The sequence below is a fragment of the Homo sapiens genome, chromosome 16 (genome assembly GCF_000001405.40).
Source record: "Homo sapiens chromosome 16, GRCh38.p14 Primary Assembly".
NCBI classification, from domain to species: Eukaryota; Metazoa; Chordata; class Mammalia; order Primates; family Hominidae; genus Homo; species Homo sapiens.
In genome coordinates, this window is record NC_000016.10 from 55506709 (window position 1) to 55530329 (window position 23621).

At 36.1% G+C, this 23621-nt stretch overlaps 1 protein-coding gene across 4 annotated transcripts in view; it reads left to right on the top strand.

The window, feature by feature from the left end:
• The window catches only part of LPCAT2 (lysophosphatidylcholine acyltransferase 2), a 77595-nt gene continuing 56337 nt past the window's right edge, over positions 2364–23621 (top strand). For 2 of the 4 annotated variants that reach the window (NM_017839.5, XM_005256006.4), the window contains exons 1-4: positions 2364–2644; positions 18800–18939; positions 21669–21886; positions 23127–23239. In NM_017839.5, the coding sequence (NP_060309.2) occupies positions 2474–2644; positions 18800–18939; positions 21669–21886; positions 23127–23239 (642 nt within the window). In that variant the 5' untranslated portion in view covers positions 2364–2473. Of the gene's footprint in view, positions 2645–12896; positions 12915–18799; positions 18940–21668; positions 21887–23126; positions 23240–23621 lie in introns of those variants that run through there. The other 2 variants (XM_047434277.1, XM_011523169.4) reach the window with 2 other exon arrangements.

Below are 23621 nucleotides of genomic sequence, written 5' to 3' on the forward strand. Positions count from 1 at the left end.
GTGATTTTTCCAGGGTCCCATAGCTATTAGGGACCTACAAGGCCAAAGGATAGCCTAGCAGAGGAGCTTTAGCTCTCAAACCAGAATCTCACCACCCTCCGCCACCCTCAAAAACACCCCCACCACCTTCAAAACCGCTCCTGCTACCCTCCACCACCCCCAAAACCACGCTGGGTAAACACAGCTAAGGGAGAAATACTGTGCTTGCTTCTAAACACAGCTGGTATTAATGGATAAGCTCCTTACTCCTTCCTACCAGTCTACCCACTCCTAATCTCCTACATAGAAATTCTGGAGCTACTGCTGAACAGAAATTGAAGGCCTGGGGTTTTTCTGAGGCCCTTTCTGGCTCCGATAGTCTGATTGATAGTATATATATTGCTTCTGGCCTCTTATGATGGGGCTGGTGAGGAAGGTGCGTAAGGAGTGAACTCTACAGGTGACCTCCTCAGTGAGCCTGATGTCATTGTTTCTATCTCTTTTTTCTGTTTTTGAGATGGAGTCTCACTCTGTCACCCAGGCTGGAGTGCAATGGCGCAATCTCGGCTCACTGTAACCTCTGCCTCCCAGGTTTAAGTGATTCTCCTGCCTCAGCCTCCCAAGTAGCTGGGATTACAGGTGCACGCCACCATACCCAGCTAATTTGTTTTGTATTTTGGTAGAGACAGGTATCACCGTGTTGCCCAGGCTGGTCTCGAACTCCTGAGATCAGGCAATCCACCCATCTCGGCCTCCCAAAGTGCTAGGATTATTGGTGTGAGCCACCACTCTCGGCCCCATCTTTTCTATCTTTTATCCTCCCATGGCCTGTCCCCTTGACTCAGATTCTTTTTGTTTCTTCTTCTTCTTTTTTTTTCTTTTTTGAGACAGTGTCTTTCTCTGTCACCCAGGCTGGAGTGCAATGGCATGATCATAGCTCACTGCAGACTTGATCTTCTGGGCTCAAGCAATCCTCCCACTTCAGCCTCCTGAGTAGCTGGGACTGCAGGCATGCAACAGCACAGCCAGCTAATTTTTAATTTTTTTTAGAGATGGTGGAGTCTCTCTTTGTTGCCCAGGCTGGTCTCGAACTCCTGGGCTCAAGGGATCCACCCTCCTCAGCCCCCAAAGTGCTAGGATTACAGGCGTGAGCCACTGCACCTGGCCTGGCTTAGGTTGTTGACAGTTGGAAAGACATCTTTCTGTGCAGGTATCTGGCTAAAGAGTCTCAAGGGTCTGCCAGTCCCAACTTGAAGACCCCCTAGACTGGGGAATCTTCTATCATGGCTGTAATGCACTGTTATTAATGTTCCCTGTTACACTGAGAGAAAAGTCAGTGGCTCCACAACATAATAATGCTTAAAACATGCCATTTCTTCAGTGTTTCTCTATGAACACTACACATGCATTATTTTATTTAATCCTTGCTACAATTCTATGGAGTTAGAATGAATCTCCCATTCCTAGACAAGGAAGCAAACTCAGGTTAAGTGACTGACTCAAGGCCACACATCTATGTGGTAGGGCTGGAAGATTCTGACATTCAGAGGGTAACTTTGGAGAACCCCAGGGCTCAGACTCAGATTTTCATCCTGGCCTTCCTACCTGCTGTGAGAAGAGTTGATCAGTTGGGATGAGTTGATTATCATCTCCTTCCTTTAACTCTCAGCCACTCAGGGTTGATCAACTGTCCTCAGATAATGGGACAAACCCCTGCCCTCCCACCCCCACGAGCACCCACATAGGTCCAAACAGGCTTGAACTTCCTCAGTGTGAAAGGGAGCCACAGCCCAATACATTTCCCTTTTCTGGGTCAGGTTCCTCATCTAGCGTGGAGGGCAACTGTAATTTTTGCCTTTTCTGGTAATAGTAGCTCAGTTTTCCTCTGGAGAACCATCTCTCCCCTGTCAGTCCATTATGTTTTGAGTGAAACAAATTCCACTCCTAGTGCCATCATGGGTGTATTAATATTAGCTCACTTAATGGAACAGCCCAGGGGAAGTGGTTGCTCAATGGCATTACTGGATCCAGGTTAGGATTATCTGAGAATACATTTATCTGCATTTTACGGAAGGCAACCGAGGTTCATAGAGATAGTGATTTGGCCAGCGTCACAGGCCCAGTAAAAGGGATTGAAAATCCAGGTCCGTCCGACCCTAAAGCAGGGAACTCTGCCTAGTGTCTCGCTGTGGAATGTTAGGGATCCTGGGGTACCCTTCAGGGTCTTGGCTCGGAAGGAAAACATTCCCCTCCGAGGGGATGGACTATATTACCAAGGGGGTGGAGCCAGATGCCTGAGGGGGTGTGGCCAGAGCCTGGGGCGTGTCACAGCCGAAGGGGCAGGGCGGCAGCAGCAGGCGTCTAAGTAACTTCAGCGCCTGCGCAGAGGCTCCCCAGCGTCGCCCTAGGCTGGGACTCTAGTAGGTCTTCGGCTCAGTTTTGGCTGCAGCGCCCGCGTAGATCGCTTCGGCCGGGTTCTACGCCCGGCTCAACTATGAGCCGGTGCGCCCAGGCGGCGGAAGTGGCGGCCACAGTGCCAGGTGCCGGCGTCGGGAACGTGGGGCTGCGGCCGCCCATGGTGCCCCGTCAGGCGTCCTTCTTCCCGCCGCCGGTGCCGAACCCCTTCGTGCAGCAGACGCAGATCGGCTCCGCGAGGCGGGTCCAGGTGAGGGGCGTGGGTCTGAGGGGAGAGGTGGTCTGAGGGGGGCCTAGGTCAGAGGGGGGTCCAGGTAAGGGGTGTGGGTCTGAGAGAGGAGGGCGGCCGAGGGGGGCGTGGGTCTGAGGGAGTGAGGTGGTCCGAGGCGGGCGAGAGTCTGAGGAGGGAGGTGGCCTGAAGGGGGCATGGGTCTGAGGAGGGAGGTGGCCCGAGGGGAGCCAGGGTCTGGGGCGGGTCCAGGTGACTGGTGTAGGTCTGACGGGGGAGGGCGGTCGAGGGGCGCGTGGGTCTGAGGGGCGTTGTGGGTCTGGGAAGCAAAGGCATCAGAGGAAGAAAGAGCAGTGGATCTGAGAGGAGAGGACTTCTGAGGGGCCGTGAGCCTGAAAGGGGCGGAGATGTGTGTCTGAGAATTGAGGACATTTAGAGGATGGTCTGAGCGGGCACGGGAGGAGAGAAGATGCTGGGAAGATGCGGGCCTGAGAGGAGAATCCAAAACAGGAAGAGACTGAGCTGGCTGGTGGCGCAGGCTACATTCCATGCCCCAGAAGGTTGAAGGAATCTGTGAATCTGTGACAGAAGCTTCAACTTGAGTTTATGAGAGTGTAGTGGGAGGCAGATCTACTACGGGAGAGTAGATTTGAAGAAGTCTTTTTTTTTTTTTTTTTGCCTTAGGAAGGAGAGGAGTCAGTATGGGATGGATAAGAGTGAGGCAGAAGGCAGAGAGCCTAGGTCTGTGGTTAGAACAACAGGTAAGGCTGGAAAGATTTAGCTGAGCAGGAGCATGATGGAGGGTGGGAAGTCAGAATCAAAGAAAAGGGACAACTGAGTCAGCTTAGGATGTTCAAGAAGTTTTGGTCCAGAATCAGTCTTCACCTAAAAACGTTTCCTAAGTTGAAGCATGAGAAGTAGTAGCCCAGGCTGTTTTCCATTGTTAAAAATGGCTATACTGTTATGCACAAAGGAAGTTTCCTTTCCTTTCCTTTTTCTTGTAAAGGGTTCCTTTTACCATTGGCAGTTGCACTCTTTGGACTTCCTCTTTGTTGAAGTTAGTGATCAGAGAACAAGATAGACCCTGCTAACCACATTTGTCCGTGTGTTCTGCGGGGGTTGGGGGGGTGGGGGAACAATTTTGAAGTTTTCATGTCCATCTCACACATTACTTTGGATTTGAAGCAGTATAATATTTGCAATCAGCTTGTATGCACTAAGACCATTGTCCTCTACAGTGGGGGAAGGTTAAGTGCAGAGCTAAACAACACAGGTGGTGGCTTGAGTAATGGTAGATGGGTGTCTGGTTGAAGAGGGGTGTGAGAGAGGAAGAAGATAAAGAATGTAGTAATACTGCTTTGTGAGGAAATTAAACGTTTAAAAATGTGATCCTCATGTCTTTAAATTAATAGATATTCTTTTTGTGTCTTCACATTCTGAAACATTTGTAAATACATAGACCATTGTTCAAGATTAAATTTAGTCTGATTTAATTAAATCATACTTAAATGAAAATATGCCCATCTATTTGACTTCATATTTTGGAAAGAAACAGCATGGAATGTTGACAAATATTTATATTGCACCTATAATAAATTATTAAGTTTTTCCATCACCTGGTTTGTTACTGTTTAAAGATCTCTTCCAAATAACTCTCTGAGAGTTATAGTATAATGGAATGATAGCTAGTCAGTTATAGGAACTGGTCATTTATTAGTTGTATGACTTTGGCCAAGTCACTTAACCTCTCTGAACTATACTTTTCTCGTCTATTACATTGGAATATTAATAACTCAAAGGAGGGCTACAATTAAGTGAAATAATCTGTTATTGTTTGTTGATCTTAATATTGATAATATTGATAGTTATCCTATATATTTTCTACAAAGTATATACTGTACTTAAAATTTACTACTTGGATTAAATGGGATTTAACAAAGTCTGGATATTAAAAATACTTTTTAAATTTATATAGATCAGAGATACAAGAGGTTTCAGTGGCTTGAATCATCTGGGTAAAGGGAAGATTTGAATAGGCATGGTAGAAAAACAATGTCCATATTATCCAGTTTAAAAGGTGGACACACTTTCATTTAAGTATGACTTAGTATGATTAATTTAGACTAAGTTTAATCTTAAATGATGATCAATGTCTTGCTTAAGGACTGTTGTCCTCACATTTCACTAAGATAGTTAAACAAACAAGTACAAAAATATATAATCTCATGTTTTAGTAAGTGTAATGAAGGAAAACCAGAGAATAACACTGAGAGAAGGCCACCCAATGGAGATGACATATTACCAAATGGAAATATGATGAATTCTCTTAATTTGTCAATGAGTTAACTCAAAATTGATTTACTGTTAGACACTATTATTTGTTGCAAACCTTGAAGATGGCACAGAAAAAAAAGTTGCCTAATATTTTGCAACTTGTTCAATTAAAATCCATATGGGTTGCTCAGTGTAGACATGAGTGACTCTTATGCTAATATACTTTAAACTCATTCCAACTCTTTCTTCAGGGTCTATGCTATATGGTCCTTTCTTTCAGTCAAGATTATTGCTTGTTTTTTAATAATGATACCTCTTTGAAGAGAATCTCAGCCAGTGACCTACCAGAGTGACTTGGGAATTTGAGTCGTCTCATCTTCTCCACAGTACTCTTCCCCAGTATACCACCATACTTCATTGCACCACCATTCAAATAAATATAACATTAGCTAAAAATAGTGTGCTTACCATGTACACAGAGCTTCAAGAAAAATCTCCTGGATCCAAGATCCCTTCTATATTATAGTTCTGAAACTCCTACTCATCTTACCTAATACGTATTCTGTTTTATAGGAAATAAGACTGATAGCATAAGTTTCATTATATTTGTAAGTCAGTTTTCAAGTGAATAATAATAATTTAACAGGACTAGTTTTAGTCTCAGGAATGGTGGAGTAGCTCAATGTAGACAATGTAGACAAACAATTATAAACCCTAGTCAAAATATGAAAAACTACACGAAGGCACTATAGAGCAACACAAATCAGACAGAAACTGGAGGGATTTGTTTCTTGAAATAATACTTCTATACTGTGTAACATTACCCCAGCCCCTTTTTTTCCCTGAAGGTTATCACTTGACACCACATGAAGGGATTGCTAGAAAGCCTCAGCCTTATTGATTGACATGATATATCAGAGCACAAAGTTCAAGACTATCAAAGTGACTAAAAATCGAAGGTGGAAGTCCCAGAAAGGAGGAAACTAGAAATGAGGGAGCCCCTAAATTGGCATATAAATGATCTCAAAACCTTGGCCGATTCCTGAGCTGTGTATTTACAAAGGAGCCTTCAAGGACTCTGGAGGAAAGTAACAGCTGGAAGGAAGAAGAAACTGAGCAGACATTTCAACTGATAGACACCACAGGGAAGGCACAGTTAGAATCCCACCAATTAAGGGGGCCTTGGCAAACATCTCAGGCTTTACACTGAAACCTCACAAAGGTGATACCATAGGAGAAAAGCTAGTCCTATACCCTAGGACTAAGGCTTCAGTCTAAGACTAAGGGCTAGCTTCAAACAAATTTTCCCTAAAAAAGTATAAAACTAAGCCTTCACAAAGTGAATGCAATCAGCCAGAATTTTACCTACCTGCCAGGACAGAAATCAACATTCTTTAGAAAAGGATAACAGAATCCAGAATATCTGTAATATATCACCCAAAATGGCCAAAATACTATAAAAACTGTACTAGACATTCAAAGAAATAGGAAAATGTGACCTGTGATCAAAAGAAAAATCAGGCAATAAAAACAGACCCTAAGATGATCAAATGTAGGACTTCGCAGAAAAATACTTGAAAGGAGCTATTATAAAAATGCTCAAGGACTTAAAAGTAAAGAATGGCATAATGAATGAATAGTTGGAAGGAGCTTAGCAGAGAAATAGAAAATGTAAAAGAGAACCAAATGGGCATTCAAAACTGAAAACTGTTATATCTGAAATGAAAAATTCACTGGATGGGCTCAACAACACATTGAAGATGGTAGAAGAAGGTGTTAGTGAACTTGAAGATAGGTCACTAGAAATTATTCAGTCTAAAAAGCAGAATGAAAAAAACTGAGATGAGACATCAGCAAAACTGATGAAGTAAAGGCCTCTGAAAATTATCTTCTCTATAAAAGCAATGAAAACAAAAAAAAAAAATCAGAATCAACTTTGTCTTAGCTCTGAAAATTAACCAAAGGCTTTCAACAATCCAAGGAGCATTTATTTAAGAGTGCTGACTCTTAGTTAGAATAGTAGGCTTCGTTACAGTTTAATTTTATTCTAATTCCTCATCCTCAGCTCTGTAGTAGCCTTAAAAACCAACGGCCTACAGTCATAATGAAAACCAGCAACCTGTCAGCCACTAGAGGGGGAAAAATAGTGTTGGAGCATTTTCAAAGCCCCATTCCCAAGGAATTGTCATTACTGGTCAGTCTGGTGGCTGCCTGGAATGCCTCATTGGGAAGACTGTCTTTATTTGATTTGTCTTGGTGCTTACACAGTGCAAATAGCCTTCTCTCAAGGGCGTTTGTCAAAAACAATCAGAGGAAAGCGAGTGCAGTGGTGCACACCTATAGTCCCAGCTATTCAGGAGGCTCATGTGAGAGGATTGCTTGAGACCAGAAGTTTAAGGCCAGCCCGGGCAACATAGGGAGACTGCTTCTTAAAAAATAAAAATAAAAAAATCAGAGGCAATTGCTTAACATCACAGCTGCCTGAGACAGGGAGTAACAGTTGGAGCAAACAGTAGGCTAGCCAAAAACCTTAAAAGAAAAGCTAAGGGATGAGATGATCATAGGGGACTTTAAAAGCTTTGACATATTCCTAGGAATCTAGAAGGCTGTCCACATGAGTAAGGCTTTGTTAATTCTCAAGGCTATGCACATGTCCTGAAAATATCTAAAAATACCCTAAGCTGTCACCTCTGACTAACCTTGAGGGACTGTACAAGCAGAAAGTGAAGGCTAAGGCAGAGTTGTCATCTGTCACCTGACTGTTTATGATGTACCCCAACATGTACACAGAGACCCTTTGCAAGGATCAGGAAACTTGCTGGTTTCAGGTGCTTAAGAAAATCTCTAATTATTAGCTGATTACTAAGCTAACTGGTCAGAGACTTTAACTTTAGTAGCCACAATGACAAAGAATAAAAGCTTTACAAATTAGTTTATAAAAGACACTAAACAAACAAATAACAACAACAAACAGCAACCACAACAAACCCTGGAAGGGGATGAGAATAATTTCCAGAGTTGCTATATTATTTAAGATGTTTAGTTTTCATTTAAAAATTGCAAGGTGTGTAAAGAAAAACAAAGTATAGCTTATAAATAGTTTAAAAAGCAGTCAATACAAACTTTCCCTGAGAAAGCCCAGACTTTAGTCTTACTATACAAAGACTTTAAATCAGATATTTAAAATATGGTCCAATAACTAAAGGAAACCATGTTTAAAGAGCTAAAAGAAAGTATGGAGCAGGGTATCACCAAATGGAGAATATCAATAAAGATGCAATGCATTGTGTGTGTGTGTGTGTGTGTGTGTGTGTGTGTGTGTGTGTATTCACTAGAGGGGCTCAACAGCAGACTATCAAACAAAAAAAGAATCAGCAAACTTGAAAACAGGTCAACTGAGATTATCTAGTTTGAGGAACATAAAAAAAGATGAAGAAAAATGAACAGAACCTCAGAGACCTGTGGACGCTATCAGCTTTACCAACAGTTTCGTAATGGGAGTCCCAGGAAAGGAGAAAGATGCAGAAAGAATATTAGAAGAAATAATGCCCAAAAACTTGCTGATTTTGATTAAAAACACTAATCTGCCTTCCCAAGGAGCTCAAGGAACTCTTAAGAATAAACTCAAAGATACCTATATATAGTTACATTATGTACAAAGAATCCTCAACAAGATTAATGACTGATTGCTCATCAAGAGCCACAGAGACCACAAGGGAGTAGCAGGATGACATATTCAAAGCGCTGAAAGAAGACTGTCAACAAAGAATTGTATAGCTAGAAAACTATCCTTAAAATGAAGTATAAATGAGCAAAAACTGAGAGAATTTGTCATTAGCACACATGCCCTAAGATAAATAATAAAGGGAGTCTCTCAGGCTGAAATGAAAGGATACTAGACAGTAACTCAAATTCACATGAAGAAATAATCAGCAGTGGTAAAGGTAACTACATGGGTAGACATAAAGGACAGTACAAATGTAATTTTTTTGTTTGTAAATCTTTTTTTCTCTTATCCAACTTTAAAAACATCTACATAAAGCAATAATTATAAATCTGTGTTGATGCACATACAATGTATAAAGACATAATTTGTATAATAATAATAGCAAATAGGAGAAAGGAGGGAATGGATCACAGTTTTTGTATACTATTGAAATTAAGTTGGTTGATCCGAACCAGAAAATTATTATAAGTTAAGATGCCAACACTTAGGACAATCACAAAGCAAATACATTTTTAAATATAGCAAAAGAAAGAATGAGGGAATTAAAATGATACACTAGAAAATATTTAACACAGGAGAAGGCAACAATGTAGACATAGAGAAATTTAAAAAGACGTAAGACATACAGAAAACAAATAGCAAAATGTCATATATAAATCCTACCTTATTAGTAATTACATTAAATATAAACTGATAAAACAATTAAAATTAAGATTCACAGAATTGATAAAAATACCTAACTCTGTGCTTCCTAAGAGAGACACACTTTATTTATTCATTTATTTACTTAAAGGCAGGGTCTCACTCTGTCGCCCAGGCTGGAGTGCAGTGGTGTAATCACAGCTCACTCTAGCCTTGACCTCCTGGGCTCAAGTGTTCCTTCTATCTCAGCCTCCTGAGTGGCTGCAGCAATAGGCATGCACCACCACACCCAACAAATTTTTGTATTTTTTATAGAGATGGGATCTCCCTATATTGCCCAGACTGGTCTCAAACTCCTGGGCTCAAGCAGTCTTTCCACCTTGGCTTCCCAAAGTGCTGGGATTATAGGTGTGAGCCACCATGCCTGGTCAAGAGACATACTTTTGATTCAAATACACAAATAGGTTGGAAGTAAAAAGATGGAAAATGATATACCATGCAAACAGTAGCCAGGAGAGAGCTGGAATTGCTGTATTACTATCAGATAAAATAGACTTCAAGACAGAAATTGTTGCTAAAGAAAGACATTTATAATGATAAGAGGGTTGATTCATTAAGATGTAATAATTATAACCATATATGCATCTAGCAGCAGAGTCCAGAAATACACAAAGGAAAAAGTGACAGAATCGAAGGGTGAAAGATTTTCAACAATGCTAGAGACTTCAATTACTCAATAATGATAGAAGGTAGAACAATGAGACAGTATCATAAGGAAATTGAAGACTTGAAGAACACTATAAACAGACTAGATCTAACAGATATGTATGTAGAACACTCAACAACAGCAGAAAACACATTATTCTAGTGCCCATGGAACATTTGCCAAGGTAGGTCTGTATGTTAGACAGTAAAACAATTCTCAATAAATATAAAGTGGTTAAAATAATACAAAGTATGTTCTCTGACCACAGTGGATTGAAAGTAGAAATCAATAACAGAAAAAATTTGAGAAATTCACAAATATGTCAAAATTAAATTACTTCTAAATAACCAGTGATTCCAAAGTAATAATAAAACAATAGAGAAAAATAACAACTCCAGAAGTTGGTACTCTGAAAAAAACTGACAAATATTTGTCTGCACTGACCAAGAAAAAAATGAAAGAAGACTCAAATTAAGAGAGGACAATACTACTGACTTTTCCAAAATAAAAAGGATTATAAGGAATTATATGAACAAATGCATGCTAACAAATTAAATAACTTAGTTGAAGTGGACCAATTTCTAGAAAGACACAAAATACCAAAACTGATTCAAGAATAAATAAAAAATCAAATAGACCTATAATATATAAAAAGATTAACTAGTTATTAAAAACATCCCACAGAGAAAAGTTGAGGACCAGATGACTTCACTGGTGAACGCTACCAAAGGGTTAATGAAGAATTAATGCCAATCCTTCACAAGCTCTTCCAAAAAATAAAAGAAGATGGAGCACTCCCCAACTCATTCTGTGAGGCCAGGCCTACTCTGATACCAAAACCAAAAAAGGACATCACAATAAAAGAAAACTACAGACCAATATCCATTGTGAATATATATGCAAAAATCCTCAATAAAATGCTAGCAAACTGAATCCAGCAACTAATAAAAGGAATTATACCATGGCAAAGTCATATTTAGCCCAAAAATGTAATGTTCGTTCAACATAGAAAAATTAACATGAGCACCATATTTAATGAATAAAGGGCACAAGAAAATAGACACAGAAAAACGATTTGACTCACTTTCATGATAAAAACCACTCAATAAACTAAGAATGGAAAGGAATTTCCTCAGCCTTATAAAGGGCATCTGTGAAAAATAGCTAACATACTTAATAGTGAAACACCAAAAAGTTTTCTTCTAAGATAAGGAATAAGACAAAGATATCTACTCTCATCACTTCTATTCAACATTGTACTGGAGGTTCTAGCAAGGGCGCTTAGGCCAGAAAAAGAAAAGACATCTATATTGGAAAGGAAGAAGTAAAACCATCAAGATGGCATGATTTTTTAAACATAGAAAATCCTGAGGAATGCACAAAAACACTTGGAGCTAATAAATCAGTTCAGCAAGGTGGCAGGATACAAGATCAATATACAAAAATCATGGCATATTTTTTCACAAGCAACAATCTAAAAATGAAATTTAAAAACAGTTCGATTTAATTTAGCATCAAAAAGAGTGAAATACTTTAGCAACAGAAGAATTCTACATTGAAAACTACAAAATATCATTGAAAGAAATTAGAGACGACTTAAATAAATGGGAAGACATCCTGTGTTCATAAATTTGGAAAACTTAAATAGTTAAGATAATGACACTTCCCAAACTGATCTACAGATTAGTATAACCCTTATCAAAATATCAGCTGGCTTCTTTATTTTTTTGCAGAAATTGATGAGCTAATTTTAAAATTCATACAGAAATGCAAGGGACTACAAACAACCAAAAGAATCTTGAAAAATAAAAACAAAATTGGAGAACTCACATTTCTCATTTTCAAAACGTACTGTGAAGCTACAGTAATCAAGACTGTGTTGTACCAGTAACAAGACAGACATATAGATCAATGAAATAGAATTGACAATACAGAAGTAAATTCATACGTCTGTGGCCACTGATTTTCCACAGGATTGCCAAGACAATAAAATGGGGAGAGAGTAGTTTTTGCAACAAATGGTCTGGGACAATTGGATTGACATGTGCAGGAGAAGGAAGTTAGGTCCTTACCTGACAGCATATACAAAAATTAACTCAAAGCAGATCAAAATACTAAATGTAAGAGTTAAAATCATAAAATGCTTAGAAGAGAACATAAGTGTAGATCTTCATGACCTTGAATTAGGCAGTGGTTTTCTAGACATACAACGAAAGTACTAGCCACCAAAGACAGAATGGGTAAAGAGGACTTCATCAAAATAAAACACTTTTTGATTCAAAGTACACTACCATGAAATTGAAAAGATAACTTACCAAATGGGAGAAAATATTTGCAAATTATACATTTGATAAGAGTAGAGTGTTCAAAACATATAAATAACTCTTAGAACTCACCAATAAAAAGATAACCCAACTATCCACCCATAATCCTGTATCTAATGAAAATATTATTCAGAAATGAAGGGAAAATGAAGACATTTTCAGATAAGAATGGAGGGAATTTGTTGTCAGACCTGCATTCAAGAAATGGTAAAGAGGCCGGGCACGGTGGCTCACACCTGTAGTCCCGGCACTTTGGGAGGCCGAGGTGGGCGGATCACGGGGTCAGGACATTGAGACCATCTTGGCTAACATGGTGAAACCCCGTCTCTACTAAAAAAAAAAAAAATACAAAAAATTAGCCGGGCGTGGTGGCGGGCGCCTGTAGTCCCAGCTACTTGGGAGGCTGGGGCAGGAGAATGAAGTGAACCTGGGAGGCGGAGATTGCAGTGAGCTGAGATCCCGTCACTGCACTCCAGCCTGGGAGACAGAGCGAGACTCCATCACAAAAAAAAAAAGAAAGAAAGAAGAGAAATGGTAAAGAACATTTTTTGGGTTGTAGGAAAATAACACCAGATTGAGACTTGGATATACAGGAAGGAATGAAGAGCACTGGAAATGGTAAATATGGAAAGAATGATATAAAACTTTTTTCTTTATATTAATTTCATCAAAGAGCTAGAAAATGTAACCATTTAATACAAAAATTATTATTTTCTTGGGTTTACATATATGTAGGGGTAAAACATAACAATACTGAAAGAGTGGTGGATGGGATGGAATTGTACTTTTCTTACACTTTCTGTGAAGTGGTACAGTATTAACTCTGAGTACATTGTCTTATGCTAAGCACACATTGTAATCTTCAGACCAACTGCTGACTAAAAGTACAAGAAGGTATAGCAAAGGAGCCATAAAAGAAATTTAAATGGATCACTAAAGAAAAATTTCATGAACTCAAGGAAGAAAACAGAAAAGGAGAAACAGAAACAAAACTGATGGGATATATAGAAAAGAAATAGCAAAACAATAGATTTATACCCAAATACATCAATAATTACATTTAGTATACATTAATTAACATTCTAACTTAAAGGCAAAGATTTTCAGACTAGACAAAAGAATAAGACCCAGCTATACATTAATCCACAATACATGCACTATAAATGTAAATACAAAGATAAGAAGGGAGAAAAGATAATGTGGAAATAATGTAAGTGTAAGAAGCTGATATGACTGTATTAATATCAGATAAAGTAGACTTCAAGACATGTCATGATATCAGATATAAAGAGGAACATTTCTTTAAACGGTCAGTGGGAAAACTTAGCAGCACTTAATGTTTATGTACGTAATATCAGAACTTTGAAAACATGAAGCTAAAATTGAGAAAACTAAACAAAGAAATAAATAAAACATAATTGAGGATGGTAACACACCTTTCTTGGTAATTGACAGAACAATCAAACCAAAGATTAATAATATAGAAAATTTGAACATTGGTAACCACTTTTACTGAATTGACATTTATGGAACACTACCTCCAAAAATACCAGCATATAATTTCAAGTACACATTTAATGCTTACCGACATAGACCAAATGCTGGGTCATAAAAAACCTCAATAAATACCAAAAGTTTGAAATATTACAGAGAATATTCTCTGAACACAATAAATTATATTAGAAATCAATAACAAATATATCTGATAAAAATCTACATATTTAGAAATCAAGCTATATACTTTAAAATAGTCCTTGGGTCAAAAATATATTACAAGTGAAATTACAAAATGTTTTAAACTAAATGTAAACAAAATGCAACGTATCAAAATTGTAGGATGCAGTTAAAGCAGTGTTTGCAACTAAACCAATACATTTAAATACCTAGAAAAGAAGAAAGATTTAAAATTAATGATTTAAGTTTTTACCTTCAGTAGCTGGAAGAAGAACAAATTAAACACAAAGTAAGTCAAAGAAAGGAAATAATAAAGATAAGAGCAATAATCAGTGAAATAGAAAACAAACCACATAGAAAATTAAAATCAAACATTTGTTTAATACATTAATAGAATACATTAATGGAATTGATAAATCCTTACCAAGACTGATAAGAAAACAAGAAAGAAAATGCAAATTACCAGTATCAAGAATGAAACAGCATATATCATTATAGGCTAAATGGCTAATAAGGGAACATTATTAACAACTTTATGCCAGTAAATTTGAAGCATACATGAAATGGACAAAAATCCAGTGTATCAAAAATAGACACAAGAACTAGAAAATATGAATAGCCCTTTATCTATGAAGGAATTTGAATTTATTTTGTATCCACACATATACATTTAAAGAAAACGTTTCGCCAAGATTATTTTACTAGTAAATTTTGTCAAACTTTTAAGAATACAATAAAATCACTCACACAAGCTCTTTCAGAAAGTAGAGAAGTGTGGAACAGTACCTAACTAGTTTTATGGGGCTAACATTACCTTGATACCAAATCTGAAAAAGACATTATAAGAAAAGAAAATTATAGATCAATATTCCTCATGATCATAGCTAAAAGAACTCTTAACAAAACATTAAAAGGTCAAATATGGCATTGTATAGAAAGGATGATACTGTGTATATCACTTCTAAATTTATCTTATATCAGGAATATAAGGTTGATTTAACATATAAAATTCCAATTTCAATGTAATTCACCATATAAGCAGAACATATGATAAAATGCATGTGATCATCTCAATAGATGCAGAAATTTCATTAACTCACCTGACAAAATTCAATACCCACTAGTGATAAAAAAAGTTTCTTAGTAAAATAGGGATAAAGAGAAACTCTCTCCATCAGATACAGGGCATCTACAAAACACCCACAATTAATATCATAGTGGTAAAATATTGAATCTGTTTCCTCAAAGGTTTGGAATAAGACAAATATCTTGTTCACCACTTCTGTTCAACATTACGCTAGGGATCCTAGCCAGTGCAATAAGATAAGAAAAAGAAATAAAAGACATATTGATTAGAATGGAAAAAGTATAACTGTCCTATTCACAAATGATATAGACTGTATATGAAGAACTTCCTAAGGAATCAACAGAACAACTAACTACTAGAACTAATAAGTGAACTTGGCCAGGTCATAGGATAAAAGATCAAAACTTAAAGTCAATCTTACATTTATATACTATAGGAGCAAACAATTGCAAAATGAAATCAAGTAATCTAATTTATAACAGCAATAAAATGACATTAAATACTTAGGAAAAACCATATAAGATCACTACACTGAAAACTACAAAATATTGCTGTGAGAAATTAATGAAGACTTACATAGAGAGATATACCATGTTTATGAATTGGAAGAATCAATATTATTAGGATGACAATTTCCTCCAAATTGATCTGTAGATTCATTTTGAAATCTCAGTAAAAATCCTAACAGGTTTTTGTGTATGTGTAGAAACTGACAATTCTAAAACTTATATGGAAATGCAGAGTATCTAAAATAGCCTTCAGAAAAATGAAGAAGAAGAATATATGGGCAGACACACACTACTTGATTTCAAGACTTACTTCATACCTGTAGTAAGTAAGGTGGTGGAGTATTGACAGAAGTATAGATCAACAGATCAATGCAACAGAAAGAAAATCCATACATTAATATTCAATTGATTTTTTGCAAAGTTACCAAGAAAATTCATTGAGAAATGTCAAGTCTTTTGGTGCTGCAACAACTGGATAAATTTATGGTTAAAAATGAACCTTGATCCATACTGCATACCACACAAAAAAAGTCATTTAAGATTGATCATAGATTGAAATGTAAAAGTGAAAATCATACAGCTTCTAGAAGAAAAAAATATAGAATATCTTCAAGACCTTGAGGTAAAGATTTTTTCAGAAGGACACAGAAAAGAATTAAACATAAAATAAAAATTAATAAATTAAACTTCATCATAATTAAAATTACTTTAATCAAAAGATACCATTAAGAAAATGAGAAAGCCACAGAATGAGAGAAAATATTTTCAATGCATATATTGACAAAGGGCTTGTATACATTTATATAAGGAACTCTTGCAAATTGATAAGAAAAAGACTAACAAACCAGTAAAAATGGGCCAAAAAGACTTGAACAGACACTAATATTAGAAGTTAAAGGAATGACCAATAAGTATATGAAAAATGTGTTCAACATTATTGTTCATCAAGGAAATGTGGATCAAAGCCACATGAGATATCCTTTTATACCCACTTTAATGGCTAACATTAAATATTAAAAAATTGACCATACCATATGTTGGTGAGGATGTGGAGTAACAGGAACTCTCATACCTTGCTGGGGATGTAAACTGGTGAAGCCACTCTGGAAAACAGTTTTATAGTATTATACAAAGTTAAACATGCCCTATGACCCAATAATTTTATTTTTAGTGAAATGAAAATGTATGGTCACACAGAGATTTGAACATTGATGTTCATATGAGGTATAATAGCTGAAAACTTATAATAGGCCAAATGCCCATGAACAAGTAAATAGATAGATCATGATATATTCATACAATTGAATAGTACTCTCCAATTAAAAAGAGTAAATACTGATATATATGAAAATATGGTTGACTCTCAAAAATATGAAGTGATCAAGCCAGATATAAAAGGGTAAATAAATGCTAGTGATTTTATTTATATGAACATCTAGAGCAGGTAAAACTACAGTGAAAGAAAGCCTATCAGTGGTTGCTTAGGTTTGGGGAGGGTGTAGTAATTGCAAAGGGCAAAAGAAAACTTTTTGAGATGATGTAAATATCTTGATTGTGGTGGTCACTGCATAGGGGTATGCATTTGAAAAACTCATAATCTATAAACTTAAAATAGGTGTTTTTTCTTTTATGTACATTGTACCTTAATAAAGTTTTTTTTAAGTCTACCAAACCAAATGCAAGGATGTACAGCAGCTGAAATTCTCCCACATTTCCACTGATACTTTTAAATGACACAACTTTGGAAAACTGGTGGTTTATTATAAAGTTAAATAACATCTATGAGCCAGCATTTCCACTGCTAGGTATTTACTTAAGAGAAATTAAAACATTCACATAAAGGCTTGTACAAGAATGTTCATAGTGGCTTTATTCATAATAGCCCACAATTGGAAACAACCCAAATGTTCATCAGTAGGAGAATCAATAAACATATTGTCATATGGTCACATAGTGAAATAATACTCTGCAATTAAAAAGAATGAATTACTGGTGTATGAAAAAACATAGTGGAATAAAAAGTATTAAGTGGAAGAATGCATGATGTATGATTCCATTTATATGACATTTAAGAACAGATAAAGTTAAATTATGGCAATAGAAATCTAGCATTCGTTGCCTAAGAACATAGGGTTTGACTAGAAGAGACACAAGATGACTTTCTGGGAGTGGTAAATATGTTTTGTGTCTTAATTGCAGTGGTGGTTACATGAGTATATATTTATCAAAGCTCATTGAATTGTATACTTTAGATCTGTACATTTCCTTGTGTTACTGTTTAATATTCTAAAGATCAGATAATTAGAATATATTGGCATTTTTTCTAAATTATTTGATGGTGCTCAGAATCAGATAAGGGCCAGCAGAGACAGCAAAAGAAGCCTACTATCTGAGTAATATAATCAGCTTATAGAAAAAAAGGCAATGTGTCATACATAAGCACAGTCTATTTTACTCAAAAGGCAGTACAGTAAAAGAATTAAGAGCACAAACTTTATAACCAAACTAAGTTCAAATCCTGGTTCTACCACTTGTGATCTTAAGCAATTTAACTCCCTCTGTGTTACTCCTTTCTGGTATGTAAAACTTGAAACTTAAGGTTGTAAGAACTAAATAAGTTACTACACGCCAAGTGCTTAGAATGGCTGGTGTATTACATAGTAAGCATCCATGTATTATTTGCTATTCTTTTTAATTTACTTTTCATTTCTTCTTCTTATTTATTTTTACTTTCTCATCTATCTCCTTATTGTTATTAGTTATAAAGTTCTGGCAGGTATATAAAACAATGTATTTACTTCGTCACACTCTGATGCCTTCACTTTTCTACCTAAAGCTCTCAAAAAGCAATTTCCCCTTCTTACCTTGCTAGCTCCTGCTTACTGCAAGATTGTTCAGGCTACAACTCCTCCAGGAAGCTTTCCCTGGCTGCTAAATCATATACACCTTTTCTTTGTTCCCCCAGCATTCTCTATTCACTTTCATTGGTATGCAGATCATTTGTCTTACGGTTTTCTTCAGTGTTTCTCTTGCTACACAGTAGGCTTTGTGAAGTCAGATATAATTTGTTATTTTTCTTTGTGCTTAAATCCTTGTCTGGTACAGGCTAGTAGTCAATTCATCCTTGACTGAATGCATGAACACCATAAAACTTTCCTATTACATGTTTCTGTTTGATAGCCATGAATTAAAATAATGTCCATTCATTTATTTTTACCAACTTTGACTTTCAGATTGTCCTTCTTGGGATTATCTTGCTTCCAATTCGTGTCTTATTGGTTGCGTTAATTTTATTACTTGCATGGCCATTTGCTGCAATTTCAACAGTATGCTGTCCTGAAAAGCTGACCCACCCAATAACTGGTTGGAGGAGGTAAGAAATAATTTTGTCCAAAATATTAGGACATAATATTAAATTAAGATATACTAAATCAATATAAGAAGAGTTCATCATAGTTTAGTCAGTGATCTAACTGCTGTTAGATAAAACTATTTTATCTGCCTACTCAATAATAAATTTTACAGTTTTATCTGCCTACTCAATAATAAATAATTTATTTTTATTTCTCATATGAAATACGTAGAAATTACTGCCCAAATGCCAACTACATTATGATAATCTTCTAAAAGTTATAATTGCCTAATGTTAAAATATTTTGTTTTCTGAGTTATTGCCAAATGCGATACATCCCTAGTTCGGAAAGATACCCAACTACTATACTTGAAACCACTGAAGCTACAAAATACCTTGCTCTCAGTTTTCACATTTGCTTTTCTCCCTCTACAGCTTTCTGCAGTGGCATAAGTGGATTAGTTATACTATTTTTATTAATTACTTTAGTAGTAATTTCTATTAAAACAATTATTAATAACAATTATTAACCAGTACAGTCTGGTTATTTTAAACATTAGCATGAGGCAGAATGGAACTGCTTTTCAGGCATTATCTAATTAAGATGGTAATAGAGGAGAAACTGATCATGAGTTGACAAAGCTACTGGTAAAAGTTTATTCTTATTGAACAGAACCAAATTGTTGTGATCTGTATGCCTTAAAAGTGCAGCCTCTTATGTGGACTCCATGGATTCCATGTGAATTCCAAATCTGTAGATGGGTTTCAGGGCATTGTCAAACCTTTTGAAATTGTTGCCAAATTTTTATATATAAGGATATTTTTGTATTTAAATCTCAAATGTGAGTGCATCCTCCAAAAATTTTGAGAAAGACTGTTCTAGAAACTTTTAAAGAAATACATAGTTTGCTGTTCAGTTCATGTTCCAGTGAACAAATTTCACTATCAAAGTGGAAATGAATTCAATGCTGGCAATGCCCCAGAGAAATCTCAGTTCTTGCAAATCATACTCCTTTGTTTTAAACTCAAGGTTGTGTAGTATAAAACAATGCTTCAAGGAACGTTTTTATGACTCACCAATTCTTTTCAGATTACCTCTTTGATTTTTATTGTCGGTGGCTTATGAAAACCTAGGATGATAGAAGGAATAGTCTAAATAATCCAGACAATAGATATAATAAATGTTAGAAAAGAAAGTTTTACTTTTGTCAATTAAACTAGTATCTCTTTCTCCTCTCAAACAGGTAACGTTGAAGTTATTATGTGGGACCAGACTTAGAGCCATTCTTTAAACATGTTAAATAAGAGTGTTTAATGGCTCAGAATATGGGATAAATATAGTTATCAGAAGCTATATCACTATGGATAAAAAATAAGAGGTGTGGAAATTTGATAAAGGAATACACTTCATATCATTACATGAGTAGAAATCTCATCTCTAAACTAAAGAAGAAAGGGAGGTACAGTTTCTGTGCCCTCTGGGAAAGTATTGTGGTTTTCTTTACCTCCTTCTTGTGAAATAAAAGTCACAGAAACTTCTTTGGAACTAGTTGCTAATAGCTCCTCAGTATATTATTACAAAAATGTGGAGAAAATTAGATGAGAATCCTATTTTTAAAAGCTGAGGCAGGCGGATCACTTGAGGTCAGGAGTTCAAGACCAGCCTGGCCAACATGATGAAACCCCATCTCTACTAAAAATACAAAAATTAGGCCTGGTGGTGGGCGCCTGTAATCCCAGCTACTCGAGAGACTGAGGCAGGAGAATCGCTTGTACCTGGGAGGCAGAGGTTGCAGTGAGCCAAGATTGCACCACCGCACTCCAGCCTGGGCACCAGAGCAAAACTCCATCTCAAAAAAAAAAAAAAAAAAGCTCTCATTAGATACCTCCTGGATGATGTACATATTTTATTTTTCATAAAAAGCTATATGCTTATTCACATACTGAGATATCCCTCCTGTGTTTGCACTTCTAGGAATACATTTTTGTTTCCCTACTCAATTGGATCTTACTTGTCTTGTGTGTCTGGCATAGTTCCTGACACAGTTTGATAAATTAACTAATCTATAATGGCAGAATCTTTTTTAAAGGTTTTTTAAAAAAGTAGTTTCTGGAATTGCTTAAGTACATCTCTGTTCCAGGGAAGTGAGATGTTGAACTCACTTCTGATGATTGTTGATGATATCTAAAAACTGTAACAATACGGATTACAAGACTTTTAAAAAAATTCCTAAAATAATTCTGAGAACAGTTTCAGTGTGAGAGCTCCAAAAGTGTTTTAGGAGATAGTAGCATCTTCATTACACAAATGTGGATTCCCAAGATAACCACTTTGAAGGACAATACTGATTTGGATATCTCAGTAGGGGATGTGTGTTGAGAATTCATGTTTAACACTTTATAGTCTCAGAATGATGGAGCTGTTTCTTAGCCACACATACCCTTGGGTGAATTAACTTCTCTGTGCCTCAGTTTTCTCATCTATAAAATGGGAGTAATAATTTCAAAATACCTACTTCAAAAGATTAGGCTGAGGATTAAAGAGATTAATCTATATATAAAGCATTTAGAATAGTGCCTAGCACCTGGCAGAAACAGCTCCATGTAAGTGTTAGCTGTTATTCTCCTCAGCTCATATTTTCATATGAAATACTCTGACATGTTTTGGTTTTCTTATTGTATTATAGAGTAAAACCCTGCTGCTAGCTTTAATTAACAGAGCTAATTACATCTTTTCTATATTTTCAAAGGAAAATTACTCAAACAGCTTTGAAATTTCTGGGTCGTGCTATGTTCTTTTCAATGGGATTTATAGTTGCTGTAAAAGGAAAGATTGCAAGTCCTTTGGAAGCACCAGTTTTTGTTGCTGCCCCTCATTCAACATTCTTTGATGGAATTGCCTGTGTTGTAGCTGGGTTACCTTCTATGGTATCTCGAAATGAGAATGCACAAGTCCCTCTGATTGGCAGTAAGTACTTGTAAGGTAACGTAGATAAAATATTTTCATGCTCATGCTTTAAATTAAAATAATCATATATAGTTCATTGATAACCTTTTTAAAAAGTTTAAAATAAACATTTCAAACATATTTACTTTATTGTAATAAGTTACTACATGGAAATAGTATATTTATGAAAAAAGATTAGAGACTTCCCTTTTATAGCTTCATAACTCTTTAAAACTTTTTATCACTATGTCATTGTCTTTCTGTTCTTATATATAGCCAGAAAGACTAGTTTTCAGATACTATCCATGCCTGATTTGAGAGAATTTAATCCATGTTTGATTTGAGAGAATCTATGAAAACACAGGTATATGCTGTTTGATGAATTTATCTTCAGGATATTAGGCTGCTAAATGCAGTAAGTGATTTCTCCTTACTCTGTTTTCTTCATTATTGCCCCCCAAATCTCCATGAGGGACCTATGTGTAGCTCTTTGAAAATTATGATGTGGGACAATAGGTACTTCCTGCCATGAAAAATAATGACGCAAGTGAAGTGTTTTTCCTACCAGATGCTTTGGTCTCCCTCAAGAATTGTCTCCAAGTAACTACTCCCTGTTGTCCCAAGTTTATTGCAAACATCAGATGATGAGAGAGTGTGAAAGTTCCCTGATGTTGCCTCAGTGCTCTGGAGAAGTAATAGTAGTTCTTGCAGCTTTGTCATTCAGCTAAGACATTTTTTTTTTAATGTAACTACCATGCTTTGTGTAATATGGCTTTTTCCTGAAAAATTGTGTAGCAATAGATCTTTGGTAAATTGAAGTTGATTTTTCGTGTGTTAGGAAGCTATTTTAAAAAAATGTTCTACTGAAAATTGCAGTATTATGAGTAATGGTTACTCCTACTTATGTGTACTGTGAATTCACGTAATCAGTTTTCAAGGTATTCCTAAAATAAAACAATAATCTTGTAGCATATCCCAAAGGTTTAATGTCAATTGAGGAAGAAGACCTTTAGGGAGAAAATTACATTTGCTTCCTTTTGTATTTTTGCTGCTTAGTTCTGTTAAATTAATGAAATGTTTTTAGTTGTAAATATCCACTTCTTTCAAAATTAGAAGCTAAGTTCTAATAAATTGTTTTTTAATTGTTCTCTTTGATTTACTCATTTAAATTTTCCATACAATATGTTATATATCCAGTATTATTGCTGTGGTTGCTTTAGCCAAAAAATGGCTTGCCTGTAACTTTTCATTTGTTTTAAAGGACTGTTACGGGCTGTGCAACCAGTTTTGGTGTCCCGTGTAGATCCGGATTCCCGAAAAAACACAATAAATGAAATAATAAAGCGAACAACATCAGGAGGAGAATGGCCCCAGGTAAAACATGGTAGATGTTAATTTAAATATAGTGGGAGTTTATTAATTGTATGTATGTAGACTTACTCATTTGGATCCACAGATAGCAATATCTGTGGACACCTATACTAGGTATTGTTAGCATAATAGATGCAGAGTAAATACAGTAGCCAGTATTAAGAAGTCCTCTTCCCCATGAGATACTCTATGGAATTAAATGTATTATTCTTTTTTATTCTCCAAACTCTTTGAACCAATTTTCTCTTTGTGTTACAAAAATTTGATTCTCTAACTCTAAATTTAATTACCACTTTATAGATGAGATAGGGGATACCTTAGTATCTATTACCATTATACTAAAGTATCTCCTATTTCATATTTTAGAAGCTTAATTATATAAGCT